At 37.8% G+C, this 23,734-nt stretch overlaps 1 protein-coding gene across 9 annotated transcripts in view, besides 2 other annotated features; it reads right to left on the bottom strand.

Moving 5' to 3' along the window:
* TMEM117 (transmembrane protein 117) overlaps positions 1 to 23,734 on the bottom strand; it is a 603,307-nt gene that overhangs the window by 470,388 nt on the left and 109,185 nt on the right. The window contains exon 2 of one of the 9 annotated variants that reach the window (XM_017020022.2): positions 3,721 to 3,882. The exons of 7 other annotated variants lie outside the window; for them this stretch is intronic. In XM_017020022.2, the coding sequence (XP_016875511.1) occupies positions 3,721 to 3,754 (34 nt within the window). In that variant the 5' untranslated portion in view covers positions 3,755 to 3,882. Of the gene's footprint in view, positions 1 to 3,720; positions 3,883 to 23,734 lie in introns of those variants that run through there. One more of the 9 variants, XM_047429663.1, reaches the window with a different exon arrangement.
* Positions 2,830 to 4,029: an enhancer, noted in NCBI's record as "BRD4-independent group 4 enhancer chr12:44318495-44319694 (GRCh37/hg19 assembly coordinates)". NCBI's record gives its function as "activates an origin of replication core promoter dependent on BRD2, P300/CBP, MED14 and CDK7 cofactors, and independent of BRD4, by STARR-seq in HCT116 cells {active_cell/tissue: HCT116}" and the evidence as "EXISTENCE:reporter gene assay evidence [ECO:0000049][PMID:35650434]".
* Positions 10,568 to 10,768: a silencer, noted in NCBI's record as "peak1705 fragment used in MPRA reporter construct". NCBI's record gives its function as "represses an SCP1 promoter by STARR-seq MPRAs in K562 erythroleukemia cells {active_cell/tissue: K562}" and the evidence as "EXISTENCE:reporter gene assay evidence [ECO:0000049][PMID:32103011]".

Here is a 23,734-nt window from a genome sequence, read left to right as displayed (position 1 = left end):
TATACCTAATGCTAGATGACGAGTTAGTGGGTGCAGCGCACCAGCATGGCACATGTATACATATGTAACTAACCTGCGCATTGTGCACATGTACCCTAAAACTTAAAGTATAATAATAAAAAATAAATAAATAAATAAAACTAGCATGGTAAAGTGATATATTTAAATGCAAATATTTGATAGTTATGTAAGTACAAATGGACTAAATACTCCACTAAAAGACATTTGTCACAGGATTTTAAAAATGAAAAAAACAAAAAGCAAAAACTGAGAGAGTATACCTCCTATATACCTTCATTTAAAAGTACTTCAAGGAGAATGAACCTAATTCCAGAGGTGATCTCAGAAGACATATCTGAGGCAAAAAGAAATGGTGATAAACTAGTAAGTAATGTATCAAATCTAGACAAACATTATTTATATAAAATAATAAAAATATTAACATCTACTTTGTGGAGTTGAACCAAAAAAAGAACTAGAACCCTGAACAGCAATCGCATGGAAGTAAGAAGAGGTTGATTACAGTTAAAACGTTCTAGAGAACTTTTATTATTTAGCAGGTGATTAAGATATTGATCAGCTTTAGAATAGCTAGCTTTTTAAATATACATAGTAAAGTATCAAGGGTAGCCACTAAAATAGTAGATATTTAATACATAATTTCTAAACCTAGTAGAGGAGTGAAGGAGGGATAGAAAGAGAAAAAGAATAAACAAAATTCACTCTGTGCAAAAAAAAAGGGAAAAAAGAAAGAAGGAAAAGCTGTGCTAACAGAAAACACAAAAAAACTTGGCAGAATCAAGTCCTAATATAAATTCAATATATTGATCTTGCCAGTTAAAAGACAATAATTGTTAGATAGAAGATAGAAAACTGAGAGCAAAACAAATCCAAAGATGTGTGTTTGCAAGAGATATGACTAAGAATGCAGAAGTGTTGGAAGTAATAGGCTGTAAAATTATATACCAGATAAAACTAACAAAAAGAAAGCTAGAATATGTATTAGTTTCAGACAACATGGATTTTAAGTTAAAAAACAATGTTAGGAATAAAGAGAATCATTACATAATAACAAATAATAAATTCTCCAGGTAAATAGAATGATTTTAAAATTGATCAATGAGATAGATTATATAAATAAGATAGATTCAAAATACTGTATGTAAAACAAAATCAGATAAACTACAGGAAGGAATTTAAAAATCTATAATCAGTGTGAGATGTTAGCATTCCTCTCTCATTTAATAAGTCATGCAAACCAAAAAAAAAACCAAAAACAAAAAAAATTAACAAAGATATAGTATATTTAAATACTACAATTAAAACTTGATTTAATGGACTTCATATTGAACCCTGCATGCAACAATTAGAGAACACATATTCTCTTCCAACATGCATTGGAAGCTTTAAAATTGACAAAACAAACCTCAGTGAAGCTCAAAGATTAGATATCACACAGACCACATTTCCAAACAAATGTAATCAATTAGAAATTAGTAACAAAATGTTAAATAATTTTTATACCTCATACTTCAGAATTTAAAAACACATTTCAAAATAATTCATGAATAAAACAAAAATCCCAATGGAGATTAAGAAACATTATCAAGAGACTACATTTCAAACTTTTGGAATGCAACAAAAATAGTTGAAAATAGGAAACTTAGTCTTCAATTGTTTAGATTATAAAAGGCTGAATATCTATAAGCTATATATCCAACTTAAGAAGAAAAATAACACAAGGTAATAAACTCATAGAAAGCAAAAGAAAGTTGATATTAAAAGATACGAAAAAATAATTAAGTCAAAGGCAAAAATAAAATATAGAGGATCAATGAAGCCAAAAACATTAAAGTTTTATAAAACCAACAAATCTCTTACTAGACTGATGAAGAAAAAAGAGATAAGGTAATAAAAGTATTAGAAATGAAAAACTACAAACATAGATAGCAGAGATAAAAAATGGATAAATACCTTGATAAAGATATTATTTGCCAAAATGATTAAAGAAGTATGAAACCTGAGTTATTCTATTACTAAAAAATATTCTGTTCAGTAGTGCAAGCACCTTTCGGTAAAGAGAACACCATGTCTAAATGGTTTGAGAGAGGAGTTCTTTCACAAACATTCAAGTAACAATTAATTCCAATATTTCATAAACTCTTCTTCCCTAAGATTTTATAATTCACTTAAAAAATCAAATTTAAAAGGGTAGATATTTATAAGAATGACTAATGTGAATTTAAATCTGAAATTCCGATGTAAACATTTATTTTTTTCTCAGACTATATTCCCTAGCTTATGAAAATGTTTATCAGAAGACTTTAAGCAATGTAACTACTGGATTTTACAAAGAGGAGCAGTAAGCTGATTGGAAGAGAGGAGAAGAGTGTTGAATCTACAGTTGCATAGCACTTCACTTTATATAAGGGAGAACAAATCAATTATCCATTAATGGAAAGGATATGCCAGCCAATGTTTTAGGACTAAAGCACCCTGGTGCTTCTACTGATTTCAGGTAAGAATTTCACTGCCAATTTTGAATTGAATTATTCTATTAAAGTACAAAAGTTCCTTGACAGATGTATGCAACGAATAACTTCAAGATATATAAGACCAAAATTTAGATATATACTGAATTTTTCTAAACATATATTTAATTAGCATACAGATTAACCTCAAACATTATTTATGCAGCTACTAATGGCACTGGGGATATGTATGTTTAATATGTTCTGTGTTGCACATACATGGCAAGTGGCTAGTTTGAGCTTAAAGCTGGGACCCAGACTGGCTTGCTAAACTGAAAGCAAAGAATTCCAATCATTTCAATAGTCTACTTTCCGACTAAATGTCAAATGAAATAGGCAACACAACATTGCATCTGAAGCACATGATGGTACACGAGGGTCAAGCTCAGCCCATGGATCCTGGTCTAAGCCCCACCAGATATAGAAGCACACTATCTTGTACTAGGGGATAAATATATATAATTCATAGGTAGAAAAGGTAACATTTTTTCCACTTCTGGGTGGAAATAAGCACAGGTTTTTAAATAGGAAGGATTTCACGTAATTCACCTTCATTTTAGCAGCCTGGGGGCTTATAAATGTGGAAACCCTGGGAAACCATACCATTGGCATGGATGACTGACGAGGTGGAGTCCTAAAGCCCGCAGCTGTGGCGGAGCACTAGCCTCCACCAGCCTCCGGCAAGTCAACATCAATAGAGGGCACAGAACAGAATATGACAGACGACTTTATAAGCCCATATGATACACTCAGAGATAAGAAATAAATGTTTGAGATTTTAAATAAAATTAGAAATTGGAGGTTACAAAGAGTCAGTGAAATTGGGTTGCACATATAATAAATGTGACCATTTAACCCAATTCAATACTTTTAACAAAAAAAAAAAAATTTTTTTTGGCAAGTGTGGTAGCCAGCCTACAAGATGGCCCTCAATGAGTCTCACCTCTGGCTAGACACCCCCACACACACTGAATTATGCCTTCCCTGTGTGACCAACAGAATATGGTTGAAATGACATGAGGAACTTCCAAGGGTAGGTTGTGAAAGTTATCGTAGTTTCCACCGTGGTCCCTCTCTCGAGTTGCTGTCTCTGGAGGAAATCAACTATTACGGCACGAGGACAATCAAGTTGCCCTATGAAAAATTCCACTTGAGGAACTGAGGGATCCAGCAAACAGCTAGCACCAACCTGCCATCCATTTGAGAGAACATCTTCCATCCATCTTAGAAGGTAACTTTCCAGTCAAGCCTTCGGATGACTATAGCTCTGGCTGATATAGTCACAACAACCTCATGAGAGATCCCAAGCCAGAACCAGCCAACCTGCTCCCAAACTCCTCACGCACAGAAACTATGAGAAAACAAATGTTTATTCTTGTTTTAAGCCACTGAGTTTTGGATGTGTTTGTTACACAGCAATAAATAACTTTGTGCTCTATAATTATTCTGAAAATGAATAAGAGCCACTTGAGAACTTGAAGCATGGAAATAACATGCTAAAAATGTAATATGATAATGCAATTTTTATGAGGAGAGATGTGAGATCACAAACTAGAAATAAAGTACAATATTCATAGGGTAAATATGTATTTTACATTATTAAAATGTTTGACATTTTATTAAGACAGAGCAAAAGAACATTTGTGAAAATAACCTTCACAGCACGAAATACTTGAAATAATTAAATAATTTCAAAGGGCAACTTTTATGTAGTAAATGTCAGTAATGGCATTTTTTATCTCTACTGTAATTCACATAATGTATCATATTTTCTTACCATATTTTATATCCTTTCAGTCAGAATGTTGATGTCTATATTGACAATAAAATAATAGACAAAGGAGTTATTTTATATGACCAGTGTCTACGCAAACAATGAATAATAAAGCACTATAATTTAAATGCTTAGGGTTCTTTCATCTTTAAGAATTCAGGCAATATTCCTCCCAAGTTTTAATCTACTGAGATTTGTAACTTGTCTCAGTTATAGAAAGAATAGACAAGGAGCCACACCACACTCTGGAGAGCCAAGAAACTGTATTTACAGAAAAGAGATTAGTATATAAAACCCATTAAGATTCACAGTGCCATTTTTTGTTTGAAATCCCACTCCTACAGAATTCATTATTTTATTTGGTTCCTATTTAACAGGCATTTATATAGTGCTGTGTTCTAGGCTCTGTGTTTTATTAAAGAGTAATTTACTTAGCCACTATTCTAACACTTGATGGTCATAACAATATTTAATATCTATATAGTATAAATTGTGTTTCCTTCCTGAACTTCACAAATAAATCTATGAATTAAACACTGCTGACTATTACTGACATTTATTTTTCTACATATAAGGACATGAAAAATCTGTGGTTAGAATATTAGTATATTACTCAATACTTTCCATTTCCAGCATCGTCTGTACTCAATGGTTTTACATGACTCTGTAAAAAGAAATTGATAATTTTTATTGTACACTAACTTGAAATTATGACAGAAAATTATCTTATATATTTTTACTTAACCAAATATGCAAACCTCCAACTTCAGAGAGATTAGTAGGAAAGTCTTTCCAAATATAATATCATTTGAATTAGCCTCTTGTACAGTCTTAGAAATAGTTATCCATTAGTGCCTGGAAGAAGTAATAACGTGATGAGTTTGTGATGAAAAATACTGACTCATTGTAACACACTATATTCTACTGTGGTTCATCATTAACACATAAGATAAAACAGGGATACCTGTTATAGGAGTATTGTCACATTTGTGAAACTGAAAAATGTGTGACCAGATGCCACCCTGGTCTGTACATCTAACAAATGAAAAATCATTTTTAGGTAGCTATTAAATGCAAAGCATTACTTGAAATCTTGACTGTTCCTTTTAACAAATATGTTGGGATAAATCCACTATAATGGGCCACCTCATTTTTTCTACCAACTAGATTACACAAGAGGATTGGCCCTATTATGTGGAATGTCTATTCCCTAGTCCTAGGTGTTTCCTTCCAGATAAAGAACGGCCCACTCTCCACTTCCAGGGGAGAAGCAACATATCTGATAGACCATTTTGAAAGAATAAATTTGGCATATATAAGTCAACATCTTTTCTCTAGAGACCAAATCTCTCCTGGCAGCACTCCAAATTCTGCTCTGCTCCTCCAGCAGAGGTGTGTCCAACCTAGTATTGTCAGGGACTAGGGAAATCTATTTAATTTTGGAGTTTAGTATTGGGAAGTCCCATGCCTGCAGATTCTCCAGTATACAGTCTTTTAGGAATAAAGGTGATATTTTGGTAACCACAGGCTTTATTTCTGTCTTATTTCTTTCTATATTTAAAACATAGGCTGAGAAAAGGGGTACTTCTTCTTGGGCCTCCTAAGGGACTTAAAAACATCAGTGGTGAGAAGAAACAAATAGTCTACAAAATGATCAAAGACAACCACCCCAGACACTAACCAGCATTTTCATGAGTTCCAACTTTCATTCTCTTGCAAACTACCTATGTTGTGTGAAGTTACAATGAAGAGATTCAAATAACTTAATCAAGTGTAAAGTTAGCAAACTATAACATGTTTAACCAAACCTCAAAGCAAAGGTGATTTTAGCCATCAACAGACCTGAGAAGCCAAACGGAACGCCCTAATGAGGCTAAGTCATGCTAACATAAAATCCAAATTTACCAAATGTGTCACTCTATTGTAATGCTTTTGCCTTACAAAAGCACATAAATATTTACATTATTCCATATAATTAAACCAAAAGCACAAATAAGGGCTACATTTACCTATATGTTAATTTCATATAACATTCTCCTTTCTTTCACTAAGTCACCAGGGATGGTTTATTTCTTAATGTATCCTTAAATTCAATTTTTAAAAACCTAGAAATAATTACAATTCAATTACTGCTCCAATTTCTAATGTTATATCCCTTTCTATTTAGAGAACCCACTGCACGCGTATTGCCTTCTAATACCAAGAAAGAGAGAGAGAGACAGAGACAGAGAGAAGCAGAGACAGAAAGAGAGACCACACAAGTGTTAAGAGAAACCACAGTTTGTAAGACATATCTGACTCACTAGTTAAATCCAAGGAGTCCTTATTGTGCTTTTTTGCTGGTTCTACTGACAAGAAGGCACCCTAAGGTGGGCAATTTACATGGAGGTTTAATTTGGAGAAAGAAGCTTTAGGACTTTTATGGTAGAGTTCAGGAAGAAAGTCCACTTTTAGAGGTTGACAGTGGACATTTGGGACACCTGGTAATAATTAGAAAGCTGCCAAACAGAAGTAGCAATGGAGAAGTCACCAACATGGAGTCAGTGGAATGGAAAGAATGTCAGCTGAGCAAATGGGGGAATGCATTTATTCAATGAATATTCATTGAGTGACTCTCTATGCAGAACCTAACCTTAACTGCAGCTGTGAACATAAAAACTTTTCCTTCCCTCAGGAAACTTGATATTTAGTTGAGAAGATGAGATACATAGAAACGAAAAGGTAAATAGCATTAAAACAAAATGTGATTAACAGTGGAGTTGTATAACAAATTTAATATATGAGAATAGAGAAAATCAGAAGGAAGAAAGAGAAGGTAGAACCAATAAAACTTACTGAGCTCTTCTTTGCAAAGGTCTTTCACATAATACTTCAAATCTCAAAATAAGCAACTAAGTATAATTGCTCCCATTTTGTAGATGAGAGAGTAGAAGCTCAGAGAGATTACTTGATTTCTCTAAGGTCATACAGCTAGCAAGTGGGATATCTAGGATTTAAATCTAGATCTATCAGACTCCAAATCTTATTCTCTCTCTACCAGATACTAACTAAAAAAATGTAAAGGAAACTGAACACTGGAAAACAAGCAAAACACTTTCCTTCATCCACCAAATATTAATTGACTCTCTGTTTGAGTATATGCATGTTCTGGGGAAAAATAATCAGAAAGAAAAATATTTTTCTACATTTTTGAAGCTTCTAGGCTAGAGACGGGTGGGTAGATAGATAAGACAGATAGAGACAAACCAACAAATAATGCAAAGCTTAGTAAGAAAAGTACCAAAGAAAAATGAGAAAATGCCATGGGCTCAGATAAGAAAAGATCACATTATTTTAAGAGCATCAATAGGGCCACATTAGGAAACACAGAAGGGTAGACAAGTTTATAAGAACGGGAACAAGCTACTCCAGATATAAATGATAAGTAAAAGCGTAGAAGTGGAAAGCACAATGCAGATCAAGGACTAACAAAAAGCAGGAGTGTGACTGAAGTGTAAGATACAGGGAGGGAACCACAGGAGGGTGACAGACTTCAAATATCTGGCTAAGATATTATACTTAATTTTGAGCATAACAAATAACTAGATTGTCAAGCAGAGAAGAGATACTCTCTGAATTATCCTTTACAGGAAGTAATCCACATTTTAAAGGATGGATTTTAAAATGCTACTGAAATAGTACAGTAAAAAGCAATTTAGAGCCAGGTGTGGTGGTGCACCTATGGTGCCAGCTACTCAGGAGGCTGAGGCAGAGGGATCACTCCTTGAGCCCCAGGAGTTTGAGGCTGCAGTGAGTTGTGATCATGCCACTCCACTCCAGCCTGGGCAAAATAGTGAGATCCTGTCAAAAAAAAAAAAAAAAAAAAAGGCCCTCTAGGTTTGAACTGGTATGACAAAAAGTCATTTTTTTGAGTCTCAGTCTGTCACCCAGGCTGGAGTGTAGTGGTGTGATCTCGGCTCACTGCAACCTCCGCCTCCCGGGTTCAAGTGATTCTCCTGCCTCAGCCTCCAGAGTAGCTTGGACTACAGGTGCCTGCCACCACGCCCGGCTAATTTTTTGTATTTTTAGTAGAGACAGGGTTTCACCGTGGTCTTGATCTTCTGACCTCGTGATCCGCCCGCCTCGGCATCCCAAAGTGCTGGGATTATAGGCGTGAGCCACCATGCCTGACCAACAAAAAGTAATTTTTAAAGAGAGGAGTGCAAAGACGTTTTAGAGATAAAATCTATAAAATTTGGTAGCTGTTATCCTGTTGAGTGTAAGGAGAGAGAGGTCAGAGAGCAACTTCAGTGTTTCAAACTCAGGAAACTGGGGAAATGGTAAAGCCAGTAAAAAAGGAGAGGTTGCAGAGATTAACTATTGACATGGGTTGTGCCACAGGGAGAAGATTGAATCTGGATTTCCATTAAAGTAACAGAATGAAGAGGTCCTAAAGAGAGATGAAAATATCATGAGTGATGCTGGACCTAGAGATATAAATACGAATTGCATCAATTTAGAGCTGATCAGTCAATTCTTGAGAATAAAGTCACCAAAAGAAAGAACATGAAAATCAAAACCACAATGAGATATCACCTCACACTTGTCAGAATGGCAATTAACAACAACAACAAAAAGTGTTGGAAAGGATGTGGAGAAACTGGAATCCTTACACACTACTGATGAGAATAAAAAATGGTGCTGCCACTGTGTCAGTGTGGAGGTTTCTCAAAAAATTAAAAATAGATACCATATGACCTAGCTATTGAATTTCTGGATATTTATCCAAAAGAACTGAAATCAGGATCTCAAAGTGATATCTGCATCCCCATGTTCACTGCAGTTTCAACAGCCAAGCTATATAAACAAGCTAAATGTCCATAGACAGAGAAATTGATACGATAAATTGATAAAGAAAATGTGGAATATATACACACAATGATATAGTATTCAGCCTTAATAAAGAAGGAAGTCCTGCCATATGAGACAGCATGGATGAACCTTCAGGACATTATGCCAGGTGAAACAAGCCAGTCACAGGACAAAGACAGCATGATTCCACTTATATGAAGTATCTACAACAGTCAAATGCACAGAACAGAGAGTACAAGGGTGGTTGTCTGGTTCTGGACGGGGAAATAGAGAAATACTAATCAACGGGCATAAAGTTCCAGTTAAACAACTATGAATCAGCCCTAGACATCTGCTGTACAACGCTATACCTAGAGTCAACAATAACGTATTGTACACTTACAAATTTGTTAAAGAGGGTATACTTCATGTCCAGTGTTATTACCATAATAAAATAAAATTTTTAAAAAGAGAGTGGATGCATGCAATGAGGAGAAAAGGAGAAGAAAGAATGCAGGGCTGGAGATACAACACCGAAGTTTTTGAACTAGGGAAGCAGCTCTCTTATGTGGCTCACTTAATACTTGCAGGAAACTGGAAATTAAAGAAGAGCCGATAAAGGAGACCAAAAAAGCAGAGTATATAGTAGATAATTTTCATTATGGAAATCAAATGAGAAAACTTCAAGTGCAGTTACAGTATCAAATTGTACAGAGATTAGAGAATTAAGACAGAAAAGTGGATTTGGTATGTGATGGTCAATTGAGACTGAAGAAAGTATTTTCAGAGGCATGGTGAGAATATTAAAATGCTTTTGAGTGTTGGTAAGGCAGACAGCTGTGGAACTCAGTAGCATGCAGGATAATTCCCAGTGTTCAAGAGGCAGGCATAGAGCTAAGGGCTAACAAGACCCACTGGAAGCGTCTGTACGAAGGAAGCATCAAATTAATGTTTTTTAAAAAAGGAAAATAAATTCAAAGAAAAGGCCTACAGACAAGCAAGCATGTATCTTGAAAAATAATATCAGAAGTAGCTTCTAATTGGTTAATTAACTAAGCAGCTAGACAAAGCTATCCAAAAGAATTAGCATGGTGAAATAACCTTTTGCTTAGGCGGTGATTCTCAGGTGAGACTGGTTGTTAACCTTTGTAAACTTTGCTGTTAACCTTGGCAAGAACTGGGTGACAAGTTAAAAAAGACAAGTCAAAAAAAGTATTCAAAACCCCTGCAAGAGATGTTCTAAAAATGAAACAAAAAATTATGATTGCTGATGACATAAAAATAGCCATCAACTTTAATCAGACTAGACCAGATGGAGCCTGCATATACAAAAAGTGTACTGTCAGTAATTATATTAAGAAAAGAAAAAAAGAACTGTTCCAGGCAATGACAGAATGACGTCCCCCTTGTAACAGTTATAATCACAGCACTCTGCAGGCAGTCTGCAGCACCCTGTAGGCTATATTTTTGTCAAATAATGTGTGTGTCTGACAGTTATGTTCCATCTCAGGCTATGTCCTTGATGATAAGAGTGTTCTCGTGGAGCAGAAATAGAAACTGAAGGATTTCCCTATCTACCAGATAATAGCCCTAGGAAATCAGTCTAACAAACTAGTAAAGATGACTCAATGCCATAGACCAAGTGACTGGAATAGAGATCAAGTCCTTCTATAGAAACCTAAATCAACCTCAACTGGCCAATGTCTAAAAAAGTATAACCCAAGTCTGTGCAAGAGGGTGACAGGACAAGGGGATTGTAAGGTCACTCACTCCAGCTCCCACCTTCTATGAGTTTATAAATCCTCATAAAAATGTTTGCCTTTTGCTTGATAAAAATCTTTAAAAGAATCCTAAAATTAGACACATATAAAAGAATTGGTTTGAAAATTCAGGTAAGAATTATGAACCCCAATATTGCAGCCCAAGATCTTTTAAAAATAAATGTTACTAAAAGCTAAAAATGTTTATGTTTATGATATGCATAATGGGTAAAGGTGAGGGCTTGGGAGACAGATGGCTGAGGCTTAATTCCTGGTTTTGCCACTGCCCACTGGGGTGACAGTTACATAACTTCTCCCTGCTTCTGGTTATATGTAAAATGAGGGTAATAATAGTAACCACTTCATAAGATTGCTGTGAAGATTACATTGTGAATTACATAAACCACTTACTAAAGTGCCCTGACACAGGGCATGCACTCAAGGTGAGTTAGCATTCTTTCTTTGTTTTTAGAGACAAGATCTTGCAGCCTCAAACTACTGAGCTCAAGCGATCCTCCTGCTTTGGCCTCTTGAATAGCTAGGACTACAGGCTCGTGCCACCACAGCACGCCTTTTTTTTTTTTTTTTTTTTTTTGTAGAGATGAGGCTCTCACTATCTTGCCCAGGCTGGTCTTAAACTCCTGGCCTCAAGCAATCTTCCCACCATGGCCTCCAAAAGTGTTGGAATTATAGGCATGAGCCACTCTGCCCAGCCATAGTACTATTATTGTATCACTATATCAATAAATCAGATTTGATCTCTGCATGTAACTCATCACATCTAAAACTGGGCATAGGGAGGCCGTAAATAAATGGTTAAGGTAACTAATGGCTTCAGGTAATCTGATTATGCTCTAGGAGGCTGCAACCTTAACATGGATCTGACTGTAGCAGGGGAGAAGGATGGACCACTGGGAGGAGTAGAGAGGGGAGTCTAGGCTCTAACAGTGAGATTGTTAACATCAGAAAAGAAGCCTAGATCTACTTCACGCCAACAAGAAATCAGATATATCTACCTGGCTTATGTTTAGCCCTTTCAATTCCTAGGATGAAGTAGGAAAACTTTGAGATGCCATTTAATTTTTTAGTCCCAGTAACTGAAGAGAGAACACCATCAGGACTCATCAGTTTCATACTCCAGCAACAGTAATGTAACAACTCTTCATTGTGTTTCTCCTTCTGACAATGTTCAAAGATCTATGGACTAAGACGTTCACATCAGAGTGATATAAGTAGTAAAATAAAGGCAGCATCCTGTGAACATCCTAAATGTTCAACTAAATATGGTGGTACAATAAAGTAATAAAATCATGCAACCATTAAGATGTGCTTATACATGATATTTAATAATCTAGATGGGGTAGAATCATTATAAATATTGAATACACAGAATAAATTCATGTTTTATAAACATATATCCATAAGAAAACTGCCAAAATGTTAATGGTGGTGTTCTCTAGATGACAGATTACTAGAGAATTTTTTCTTCTTTGAACTTTGCTACATTTTCTAAATTCTACACAACGTTCTTGTTTTAGTTTAATAATTTAAACAACATTTTGAAGAAAATAAAGAGGTTACCATGGCTGGCATTAAGTCACTGAAAAATATTAGGCAATGAAGAACAAAGAGGTGGAACAGGGAATCCCTCCCCTCTCTCCATTCCATTTCCCCTTCTAACATTCTCCCTCCATGCCTCCCCTCTTCTGGTGGATTTGAAGGTGGCTCAAAATGTGGCTGGAAAAAGAAGAATAAGTTAGTAGTGACTATGAATTTATCCCCCACTTTTTTCTTGCCCAACCATCACCCTCTCCCTGCCACTATTTACCATAATGGCCACAGCAGTCCTTTTGCTAGATCAGACAAGAGAGTTGTTAGAGTGGGGATGGGAGGTGAGGTTGAGGGGGGTGCTGAAGCTGTAATACCTGCAACAGTGGCAGTGAAATGTGGTCATAGCCTCCCATATTAAAAATAAAAATAAAAAAAGTGTTCCCTTACCCTTGCCTCCTCTAGTTTGAAAACACTACACTCAGTAAACACCACTGGATTTTTTTTTCCTCTTTCTTTCTTTCTTTTTCTTTCTTCACTCCTTCTTTCCTTCTTCCCCTCCTTTCTTTTTCTTCCTCTTTCTTTTTAATAATAGAAACAAGCCTTCTCTATTCTCCTAGGTCTCGCCTGAGCAGGCCTTTAAATTAGACAATTCTAGAGCCAGCAGATAGTCACTGGCCTGGGACTAAGTGCAATAAACCCTTCTGTGACCAAGCAAGAGTACTTAGCTATGCAAAGTTGGTCACTGAAGGGGATGAAGATCAGTTTGTATAAGAAGCACTGATATTTGAAATTAAGGAAAGTTATGGGTGTGGACTGGACAAGGTCAGGTGGTAAGAAAGGGTAATGAAGCTCTAGAAACAAAATAACCTTGAGGCAAGAAGAACTATGACTGATGAACCAGACTCAAGACAGGAAGCCCAAGATCCACAGAGGAGGGTTAACTTCGGTCTGCCCCTCTGTTTCCAGCCACCTGGCACAATGCTTGGATCCTAAGAGGTAATGACTCATGATGGGAATATTAACTGAAGGAGAAGTCTAAAGTGTGGAGCGCCTTTGGTAAATGTCACTGAGGGGTGGCCAAGCCTCCCTCCAAGGGGTATAGGTAAGACCTAGACTTTGAGAACCTGGATGTCTGTATGCCTGGAAAGAACTAACACTCAATACTGAAACCATGTGGAAGCAAAGAAGAAATCGCAGTAACACTGTTTAAACATCAGTGCTTTCCCATGAGGAAAGAAAGCAGCCAGATTTTCCTCTCACAGTATAAGCTTCAGGGGTTCTTGGGTAAATCAAGATGAGAAGAAAATCCCAAGAAGATACTAGGCTTTCTGATATGCAGATGTACAGTGAGTTTTAATATAAATTTGCTGAAGGAGGGGGTACCAGAACTTATACCACCAAATATTACAGAACTATTAATAAATACTACACTATGAACAAAATCAAATACCATCAATCTCTACCCTCTGAAGGTTTCAGCTTCCTCTCCCTTTGATCTCAAAGTTTCCACATACCCAAATGCTTTTTGGTCAGCTCCTCAATCCAAAATTTGATTTATTTCATGAATGAAAGAAAGACAGGAGAATAAAGAGCAGGCACGGCTACCATGAAATCTCACCAATCTGACTGTTCTTTTATATGCAGACGTATCAGTCAGGGACAGTAAAAGTAACCCATTGTTCCCCACTGTCTTTCTCTCCCATCCTCTCTATCATGCATTTAACTGGAGGCTGAAAGCTCCATTGGCAGGGCCTGTGTCTGTCTTGTTCTCCACTGAATTCCCGGCACAGTGTTTGGCACATAGAAGGGGCACCACGAATATTTGTGAAATGAATTAGTTCATTCAATTGCCAGATCAGACTTAGTGCAGGGATAAAGAAGAACAAAATGTGATCACAATCTAGGGGAAGACTGAGGAGCGGGTTCATTAGAGCTAAGTTTCTTAGCAGACCTGCAGGTCTGAGAAAGGAAGAAAGCAGTAATAGAGGGAAGAGAAGCAAAACCAAAGCAGTATCAGAGAAAGTTTAGTAACTCAAGGTTTTCCCCATAGATGAATATTCCTAGTACCAAGCCTTCAAGCACATCCCCTCCCGAAGCTGCTGCATGTCCCCCGACTCTCCCATGCATTGGTATACATGGGGTTATAGCATCACGGTTTCCATTTAATTGATTGAATTTAGCCAAAGACTTCTCCTGTGATACTTTGTCTGCCCTCAGATGCACCAGAGGAAATATGGAAAGGATAAAGCATTTCTATCTTTCACATCTGGGCATTTATACCTGGTATCCCAAAAACATTAACAGAACTAAGTCAATTAAAATACATCAATATAAACGGAAAAGCCCATGAGAACTTTTGTCCTACTTGACATGATATAGTTAATATTTGGTCACGTGTAATACTTCTATTCTCTGTAAACATAAATTTAAAAATAAAACATATCTTATATTCTGCCATGATGAAAGTGAACAAAATGAATAATTAAAATATGCCAAAATTCTCCTTTATTCTTTTATTAAAGCATGTTGTGTGATTCTGTGCCTTGCATAAATCCAGTTTGTATTGATTTTCTAGAGACAATATAATGCATACTGTAAAAGCAACTGTCACACAGTGGCAAAAACAGGAACGACTCATAAACTCAGAGAACACCTGGATGTTAGATTTAAATAGAATGCCAGTTGGACATGGTCTGCTTCTCCTCTCTCTGTCCCCAGTTTCTCTGGGATGTCACTCAGATAGCCCCAGCCCTCTATCAGGCAAAAATAGTCCCTCTCTGTTAGTTCCCTTTCCTTCAGGTAAATGGGATCTTTTATCCCATAACATGATGGGACAGATACTTAATACAAACTTTATTAATCTATATGAATATATATACAGTAAGAAGTTCAAAATATGATTATAAAACAATATGACTTTTTTGTTACTAGACATTGTTTCAAGCAATGTTTATTAAATATGAGGCACTTTCCTGTGGTGAAGAATGAAGCAGATGCAGCAGCTATATTCAAGGATTTAGAGCTTGATAGGTATGCCTTTAAAGCCAGGCTTCCTACCTGGAGTCCAAGGACCCATAGACAGTTCATGAATGAGCTTCCAGAAGCCTACAAATCCCTTAAATAAATGTAGCGTGTTTAAATGTTGGTATGTGCATTTGACAGGGCCATATGTTCAACAGATATCAAATTCTCAAAAGGATTGGTAGCCCTAATGAAGTTAAGAATGACTGCCTTGAGGCTTATAAAGTATTCCACTTCTCAAAACAGTTCCAGATGCTCAAAATATTTTTTTGAACTTTTCCTTTGGAATGTTTCAAAGCCTAGGATAGCTTTTATGAATAATCTCAATAATGACAAGCCTTTCTTGGAGGACTCCAATTTTTAAAGTCATGCAAAAACATGGCAGACAGATACAACAGGAAGATGCCTAAACTGTGTAGTTTATTTTTGGATAAAATGAATATAACTATAAATTAGACTAATTTTCTTGGGGTACATGCATTAAAGGCTACACATATATTAATTGAAAATCACATGGAAAAGCACCAATAAAAACATCAGTACTTTAAGGATAATATTAACCAAGGTGAAAAAAAAGACATATTTCCATTATTTTCATTCATTAAACACATATTTACTGAGTGTGTAATATGTACCAGGCACTCTTAAAAGTGCCAAGGATATAGGAGTTAACAAAACAGATAAAAATCCCTGCCCACATGGAGCTTTCATTCTGCCATATATATATATATATATATATATATATAAATTATTATTATTATACTTTAAGTTTTAGGGTACATGTGCACAACGCGCAGGTTAGTTACATACGTATACATGTGCCATGCTGGTGCACTGCACCCACTAACTCGTCATCTAGCATTAGGTATATCTCCCAATGCTATCCCTGTCCCCTTCCCCCACCCCACAACAGTCCCCAGAGCGTGATGTTCCCCTTCCTGTGTCCATGTGTTCTCATTGTTCAATTCCCACCTATGAGTGAGAATATGCAGTGTTTGGTTTTTTGTTTTTGCGATAGTTTAGTGAGACTGATGATTTCCAATTTCATCCATGTCCCTACAAAGGACATGAACTCATCCTTTTTTATGGCTGCATAGTATTCCATGGTGTATATGTGCCACATTTTCTTAATCCAGTCTATCGTTGTTGGATATTTGGGTTGGTTCCAAGTCTTTGCTATTGTGAATAGTGCCACAATAAACATACGTGTGCATGTGTCTTTATAGCAGCATGATTTATAGTCCTTTGGGTATGTACCCAGTAATGGGATGGCTGGGTCAAATGGTATTTCTAGTTCTAGATCCCTGAGGAATCGCCACACTGACTTCCACAATGGTTGAACTAGTTTACAGTCCCACCAACAGTGTAAAAGTGTTCCTATTTCTCCACAGCCTCTCCAGCACCTGTTCTTTCCTGACTTTTTAATGATTGCCATTCTAACTGGTGTGAAATGGTATCTCACTGTGGTTTTGATTTGAATTTCTCTGATGGCCAGTGATGGTGAGCATTTTTTCATGTGTTTTTTGGCTGCATAAATGTCTTCTTTTGAGAAGTGTCTGTTCATGTCCTTTGCCCACTTTTTGATGGGGTTGTTTGTTTTTTTCTTGTAAATTTGTTTGAGTTCATTGTAGATTCTGGATATTAGCCCTTTGTCAGATGAGTAGCTTGCAAAAATTTTCTCCCATTCTGTAGGTTGCCTGTTCACTCTGATGGTAGTTTCTTTTGCTGTGCAGAAGCTCTTTAGTTTAATTAGATCCCATTTGTCAATTTTGGCTTTTGTTGCCATTGCTTTTGGTGTTTTAGACATGAAGTCCTTGCCCATGCCTATGTCCTGAATGGTAATGCCTAGGTTTTCTTCTAGGGTTTTTATGGTTTTAGGTCTAATGTTTAAGTCTTTAATCCATCTTGAATTGATTTTTGTATAAGGTGTAAGAAAGGGATCCAGTTTCAGCTTTCTACATATGGCTAGCCAGTTTTCCCAGCACCATTTATTAAATAGGGAATCCTTTCCCCATTGCTTGTTTTTGTCAGGTTTGTCAAAGATCAGATAGTTGTAGATATGCGGCGTTATTTCTGAGGGCTCTGTTCTGTTCCATTGATCTATATCTCTGTTTTGGTACCAGTACCATACTGTTTTGGTTACTGTAGCCTTGTAGTATAGTTTGAAGTCAGGTAGTGTGATGCCTCCAGCTTTGTTCTTTTGGCTTAGGATTGACTTGGCGATGCGGGCTCTTTTTTGGTTCCATATGAACTTTAAAGTAGTTTTTTCCAATTCTGTGAAGAAAGTCATTGATAGCTTGATGGGGATGGCATTGAATCTGTAAATTACCTTGGGCAGTATGGCCATTTTCACAATATTGATTCTTCCTACCCATGAGCATGGAATGTTCTTCCATTTGTTTGTATCCTCTTTTATTTCCTTGAGCAGTGGTTTGTAGTTCTCCTTGAAGAGGTCCTTCACATCCCTTGTAAGTTGGATTCCTAGGTATTTTATTCTCTTTGAAGCAATTGTGAATGGGAGTTCACTCATGATTTGGCTCTCTGTTTGTCTGTTGTTGGTGTATAAGAATGCTTGTGATTTTTGTACATTGATTTTGTATCCTGAGACTTTGCTGAAGTTGCTTATCAGCTGAAGGAGATTTTGGGCTGAGACAACGGGGTTTTCTAGATACACAATCATGTCGTCTGCAAACAGGGACAATTTGACTTCCTCTTTTCCTAATTGAATACCCTTTATTTCCTTCTCCTGCCTAATTGCCCTGGCCAGAACTTCCAACACTATGTTGAATAGGAGTGGTGAGAGAGGGCATCCCTGTCTTGTGCCAGTTTTCAAAGGGAATGCTTCCAGTTTTTGCCCATTCAGTATGATATTGGCTGTGGGTTTGTCATAGATAGCTCTTATTATTTTGAAATACGTCCCATCAATACCTAATTTATTGAGAGTTTTTAGCATGAAGGGTTGTTGAATTTTGTCAAAGGCCTTTTCTGCATCTGTTGAGATAATCATGTGGTTTTTGGCTTTGGTTCTGCTTATATGCTGGATTACATTTATTGATTTGCATATATTGAACCAGCCTTGCATCCCAGGGATGAAGCCCACTTGATCATGGTGGATAAGCTTTTTGATGTGCTGCTGGATTCGGTTTGCCAGTATTTTATTGAGGATTTTTGCATCAATGTTCATCAAGGATATTGGTCTAAAATTCTCTTTTTTGGTTGTGTCTCTGCCTGGCTTTGGTATCAGGATGATGCTGGCCTCATAAAATGAGTTAGGGAGGATTCCCTCTTTTTCTATTGATTGGAATAGTTTCAGAAGGAATGGTACCAGTTCCTCCTTGTACCTCTGATAGAATTTGGCTGTGAATCCATCTGGTCCTGGACTCTTTTTCGTTGGTAAGCTATTGATTATTGACACAATTTCAGCTCCTGTTATTGGTCTATTCAGAGATTCAACTTCTTCCTGGTTTAGTCTTGGGAGAGTGTATGTGTCGAGGAATTTATCCATTTCTTCTAGATTTTCTAGTTTATTTGCGTAGAGGTGTTTGTAGTATTCTCCGATGGTAGTTTGCATTTCTGTGGGAGCAGTGGTGATATCTCCTTTATCATTTTTTATTGCATCTATTTGATTCTTCTTTTTTTCTTTATTAGTCTTGCTAGCGGTCTATCAATTTTGTTGATCCTTTCAAAAAACCAGCTCCTGGATTCATTAATTTTTTGAAGGGTTTTTTGTGTCTCTATTTCCTTCAGTTCTGCTCTGATTTTAGCTATTTCTTGCCTTCTGCTAGCTTTTGAATGTGTTTGCCCCTGCTTTTCTAGTTCTTTTAATTGTGATGTTAGGGTGTCAATTTTGGATCTTTCCTGCTTTCTCTTGTGGGCATTTAGTGCTATAAATTTCCCTCTACACACTGCTTTGAATGCGTCCCAGAGATTCTGGTATGTTGTGTCTTTGCTCTTGTTGGTTTCAAAGAACATCTTTATTTCTGCCTTCATTTCGTTATGTACCCAGTAGTCATTCCGGAGCAGGTTGTTCAGTTTCCATGTAGTTGAGCGGCTTTGAGTGAGATTCTTAATCCTGAGTTCTAGTTTGATTGCACTATGGTCTGAGAGATAGTTTGTTGTAATTTCTGTTCTTTTACATTTGCTGAGGAGAGCTTTACTTCCAACTATGTGGTCAATTTTGGAATAGGTGTGGTGTGGTGCTGAAAAAAATGTATATTCTGTTGATTTGGGGTGGAGAGTTCTGTAGATGTCTATTAGGTCTGCTTGGTGCAGAGCTGAGTTCAATTCCTGGGTATCCTTGTTGACTTTCTGTCTCGTTGATCTGTCTAATGTTGACAGTGGGGTGTTAAAGTCCCCCATTATTAATGTGTGGGAGTCTAAGTCTCTTTGTAGGTCACTCAGGACTTGCTTTATGAATCTGGGTGCTCCTGTATTGGGTGCATATATATTTAGGATAGTTAGCTCTTCTTGTTGAATTGATCCCTTTACCATTAAGTAATGGCCTTCTTTGTCTGTTTTGATCTTTTTTGGCTTAAAGCCTGTTTTATCAGAGACTAGGATTGCAACCCCTGCCTTTTTTTGTTTTCCATTTGCTTGGTAGATCTTCCTCCCTCCTTTTATTTTGAGCCTATGTGTGTCTCTGCCCGTGAGATGGGTTTCCTGAATACAGCACACTGATGGGTCTTGACTCTTTATCCAATTTGCCAGTCTGTGTCTTTTAATTGGAGCATTTAGCCATTTACATTTTAAAGTTAATATTGTTATGTGTGAATCTGATCCTGTCATTATGATGTTAGCTGGTGATTTTGCTCATTAGTTGATGCAGTTTCTTCCTAGTCTCGATGGTCTTTACATTTTGGCATGATTTTGCAGTGGCTGGTATTGGTTGTTCCTTTCCATGTTTAGTGCTTCCTTCAGGAGCTCTTTTAGGGCAGGCCTGATGGTGACAAAATCTCTCAGCATTTGCTTGTCTGTAAAGGATTTTATTTCTCCTTCACTTATGAAGCTTAGTTTGGCTGGATATGAAATTCTGGGTTGAAAATTCTTTTCTTTAAGAATGTTGAATATTGGCCCCCACTCTCTTCTGGCTTGTAGAGTTTCTGCCGAGAGATCCGCTGTTAGTCTGATGGGCTTCCCTTTGAGGGTAACCCGACCTTTCTCTCTGGCTGCCCTTCACATTTTTTCCTTCATTTCAACTTTGGTGAATCTGACAATTATGTGTCTTGGTGTTGCTCTTTTGAAGAAGTATCTTTGTGGCGTTCTCTGTATTTCCTGAATCTGAATGTTGGCCTGCCTTGCTAGATTGGGGAAGTTCTCCTGGATAATATCCTGAGGAGTGTTTTCCAACTTGGTTCCATTCTCCCCGTCACTTTTGGGTACACCAATCAGACGTAGATTTGGTCTTTTCACATAGTCCCATATTTCTTGGAGGCTTTGCTCATTTCTTTTTATTCTTTTTTCTCTAAACTTCCCTTCTTGCTTCATTTCATTCATTTCATCTTCCATCACTGATACTCTTTCTTCCAGTTGATCGCATCAGCTCCAGAGGCTTCTGCATTCTTCATGTAGTTCTCGAGCCTTGGTTTTCAGCTCCATCAGCTCCTTTAAGCACTTCTCTGTATTGGTTATTCTAGTTATACATTCTTCTAAATTTTTTTCAAAGTTTTCAACTTCTTTGCCTTTGGTTTGAATGTCCTCCCGTAGCTCAGAGTAATTTGATCGTCTGAAGCCTTCTTCTCTCAGCTCGTCAAAGTCATTCTCCGTCCAGCTTTGTTCTGTTGCTGGTGAGGAACTGCGTTCCTTTGGAGGAGGAGAGGCGCTCCGCTTTTTAGAGTTTCCAGTTTTTCTGCTCTGTTTTTTCCCCATCTTTGTGGTTTTATCTACTTTTGGTCTTTAATGATGGTGATGTACAGATGGGTTTTTGGTGTGGATGTCCTTTCTGTTTGTTAGTTTTCCTTCTAACAGACAGGACCCTCGGCTGCAGGTCTGTTGGAGTACCCGGCCGTGTGAGGTGTCAGTCTGCTCCTGCCGGGGGGTGCCTCCCAGTTAGGCTGCTCAGGGGTCAGGGGTCAGGGACCCACTTGAGGGGGCAGTCTGCCCGTTCTCAGATCTCCAGCTGCGTGCTGGGAGAACCACTGCTCTCTTCAAAGCTGTCAGACAGGGACATTTAAGTCTGCAGAGGTTACTGCTGTCTTTTTGTTTGTCTGTGCCCTGCCCCCACAGGTGGAGCCTACAGAGGCAGGCAGGCCTCCTTGAGCTGTGGTGGCCTCCACCCAGTTCAAGCTTCCCAGCTGCTTTGTTTACCTAAGCAAGCCTGGGCAATGGCAGGCGCCCCTCCCCCAGCCTCGCTGCCGCCTTGCAGTTTGATCTCAGACTGCTGTGCTAGCAATCAGCGAGACTCCGTGGGGGTAGGACCCTCCGAGCCAGGTGCAGGATATAATCTCCTGGTGCGCCGTTTTTTAAGCCTGTCGGAAAAGTGCAGTATTCCAGTGGGAGTGACCCGATTTTCCAGGTGCTGTCTGTCACCACTTTCTTTGACTAGGAAAGGGAACTCCCTGACCCCTTGCACTTCCTGAGTGAGGCAATGGCTTGCCCTGCTTTGGCTCGTGCATGGTGCGTGCACCCACTGACCTGCGCCCACTGTCTGGCACTCCCTAGTGAGATGAACCCGGTACCTCAGATGGAAATGCAGAAATCACTGGTCTTCTACATCGCTCACGCTGGGAGCTGTAGACCGGAGCTGTTCCTATTCGGCCATCTTGGCTCCTCCCCCGCTTTCTTTTTTTTTTTTTGAGACAGCGTCTCACTCCCTCACCCAGGCTGAAGAGCAGTAGTGCAATCTCAGCTCACTGCAACCTCTGTCATCCAGGTTCAAGTGATCCTCCTGCCTCAGCCTCCCGAGTAGCTGGGATTACAGGCATGCACCACCATGCCCAGCTAATTTTTGTATTTTTAGTAGAGATGAGGTTTCACCATGTTGGCCAGGCTGGTCTCGAACTCCAGACCTCGAGAGATCCACCTTCCTCAGCCTCCCAAAGTGCTGGAATTTCAGGCATGAGCCATAGCACTAGGTATCATTCTGCCATCTTTGTTTAACAATTGAACTCATCTAAAATGTATTGCACAAGTATGAATGTGTTAATAGAAATAAAATAGAAAAAATAAAGTAGGAGTTTAAAAAGTATTTTATAGAGAAAATAATAGTTGGGTAGAAAATTATTGACAGCAAAATACAATGTATGTTTAGCATGCTGGTATAAATATTTGGTTAAAATGAACAGAATTATTATAACCAAAACATACAAATAAACAGTAATGATACTAAGTGCTTGACAATTCTTAGAGAATATACAGTACACTTTTAAACTATATTTATTCATGTGATCTAAGCAAAAGCTACAGAAAGATTTGGGGGATTTGGGAGCACAGGATCACAACACGGAGGAAACAGAAAATAAGGATGTCATCAGACTCAGGACTGAGTTTGCTCCCTTCTCTAAAAATATAAAGATATGCCACATCCAGAAATTCATAGAAAAGGAAGTTCTTGCTCCAAGCCTAAATCATTTTCCTAAGTTAAATGAGCAAATAAGTCTCCATCCTTCTCTAATCTGAACACTTTAGGTTATTTCTAACACTCTCAAGCTGCAGATCAAAGAGCCCAGAAAGACAACTTTCTGCTATTACCCATTATGGTTTTAAGAGTCTATGTGAAAATGCAAATAAATAAATAAATATTTAAAAATAAATAAAGTCTAAGTTAATTGACTAACAGTTAATATAATCTAATGGGAGAATGTCTTCAGCCACGGTGTCTGCCAGGAGAAGAAGGGTGATCATCTTCTGGTCCCCACTCCCCATCAAGATTGTCCATCACCCCTCCCACTGAGTGCCTAGAAAATGCAGATGAGTGCATACTGGGAATAAGAGAATGAATAGAAAGAATACTCAAGTATTCTAGATTAAGTACTAAGAAACTCATCTGATGCCTTGCAACTGCAGCTGCCCTTTCTAAGCTTTCTCTGCATAACTTAAGGGGAACTAGAAATCTTCAGGATAGGGGAGACATACACAGGCACAGACATGCTCAAAAACATTTTTTTTTTTTTTTGAGACCGAGTTTTGCTCTTGTTGCCCAGGGTGGAGTGCAATGGCACCATCTTGGCTCACCGCAACCTCCGCCTCCTGGGTTCAAGCAATCCTCCTGCCTCAGCCTCCCAAGTAGCTGGAATTACAAGCATGCACCACCACGCCCAGCTAATTTTGTA

This window comes from Homo sapiens, chromosome 12 (assembly GCF_000001405.40).
Source record: "Homo sapiens chromosome 12, GRCh38.p14 Primary Assembly".
Taxonomy (NCBI): Eukaryota; Metazoa; Chordata; class Mammalia; order Primates; family Hominidae; genus Homo; species Homo sapiens.
The sequence above is the reverse complement of the archived record's forward strand: the minus strand, read 5'-3'. Positions and strand labels throughout refer to the sequence as shown.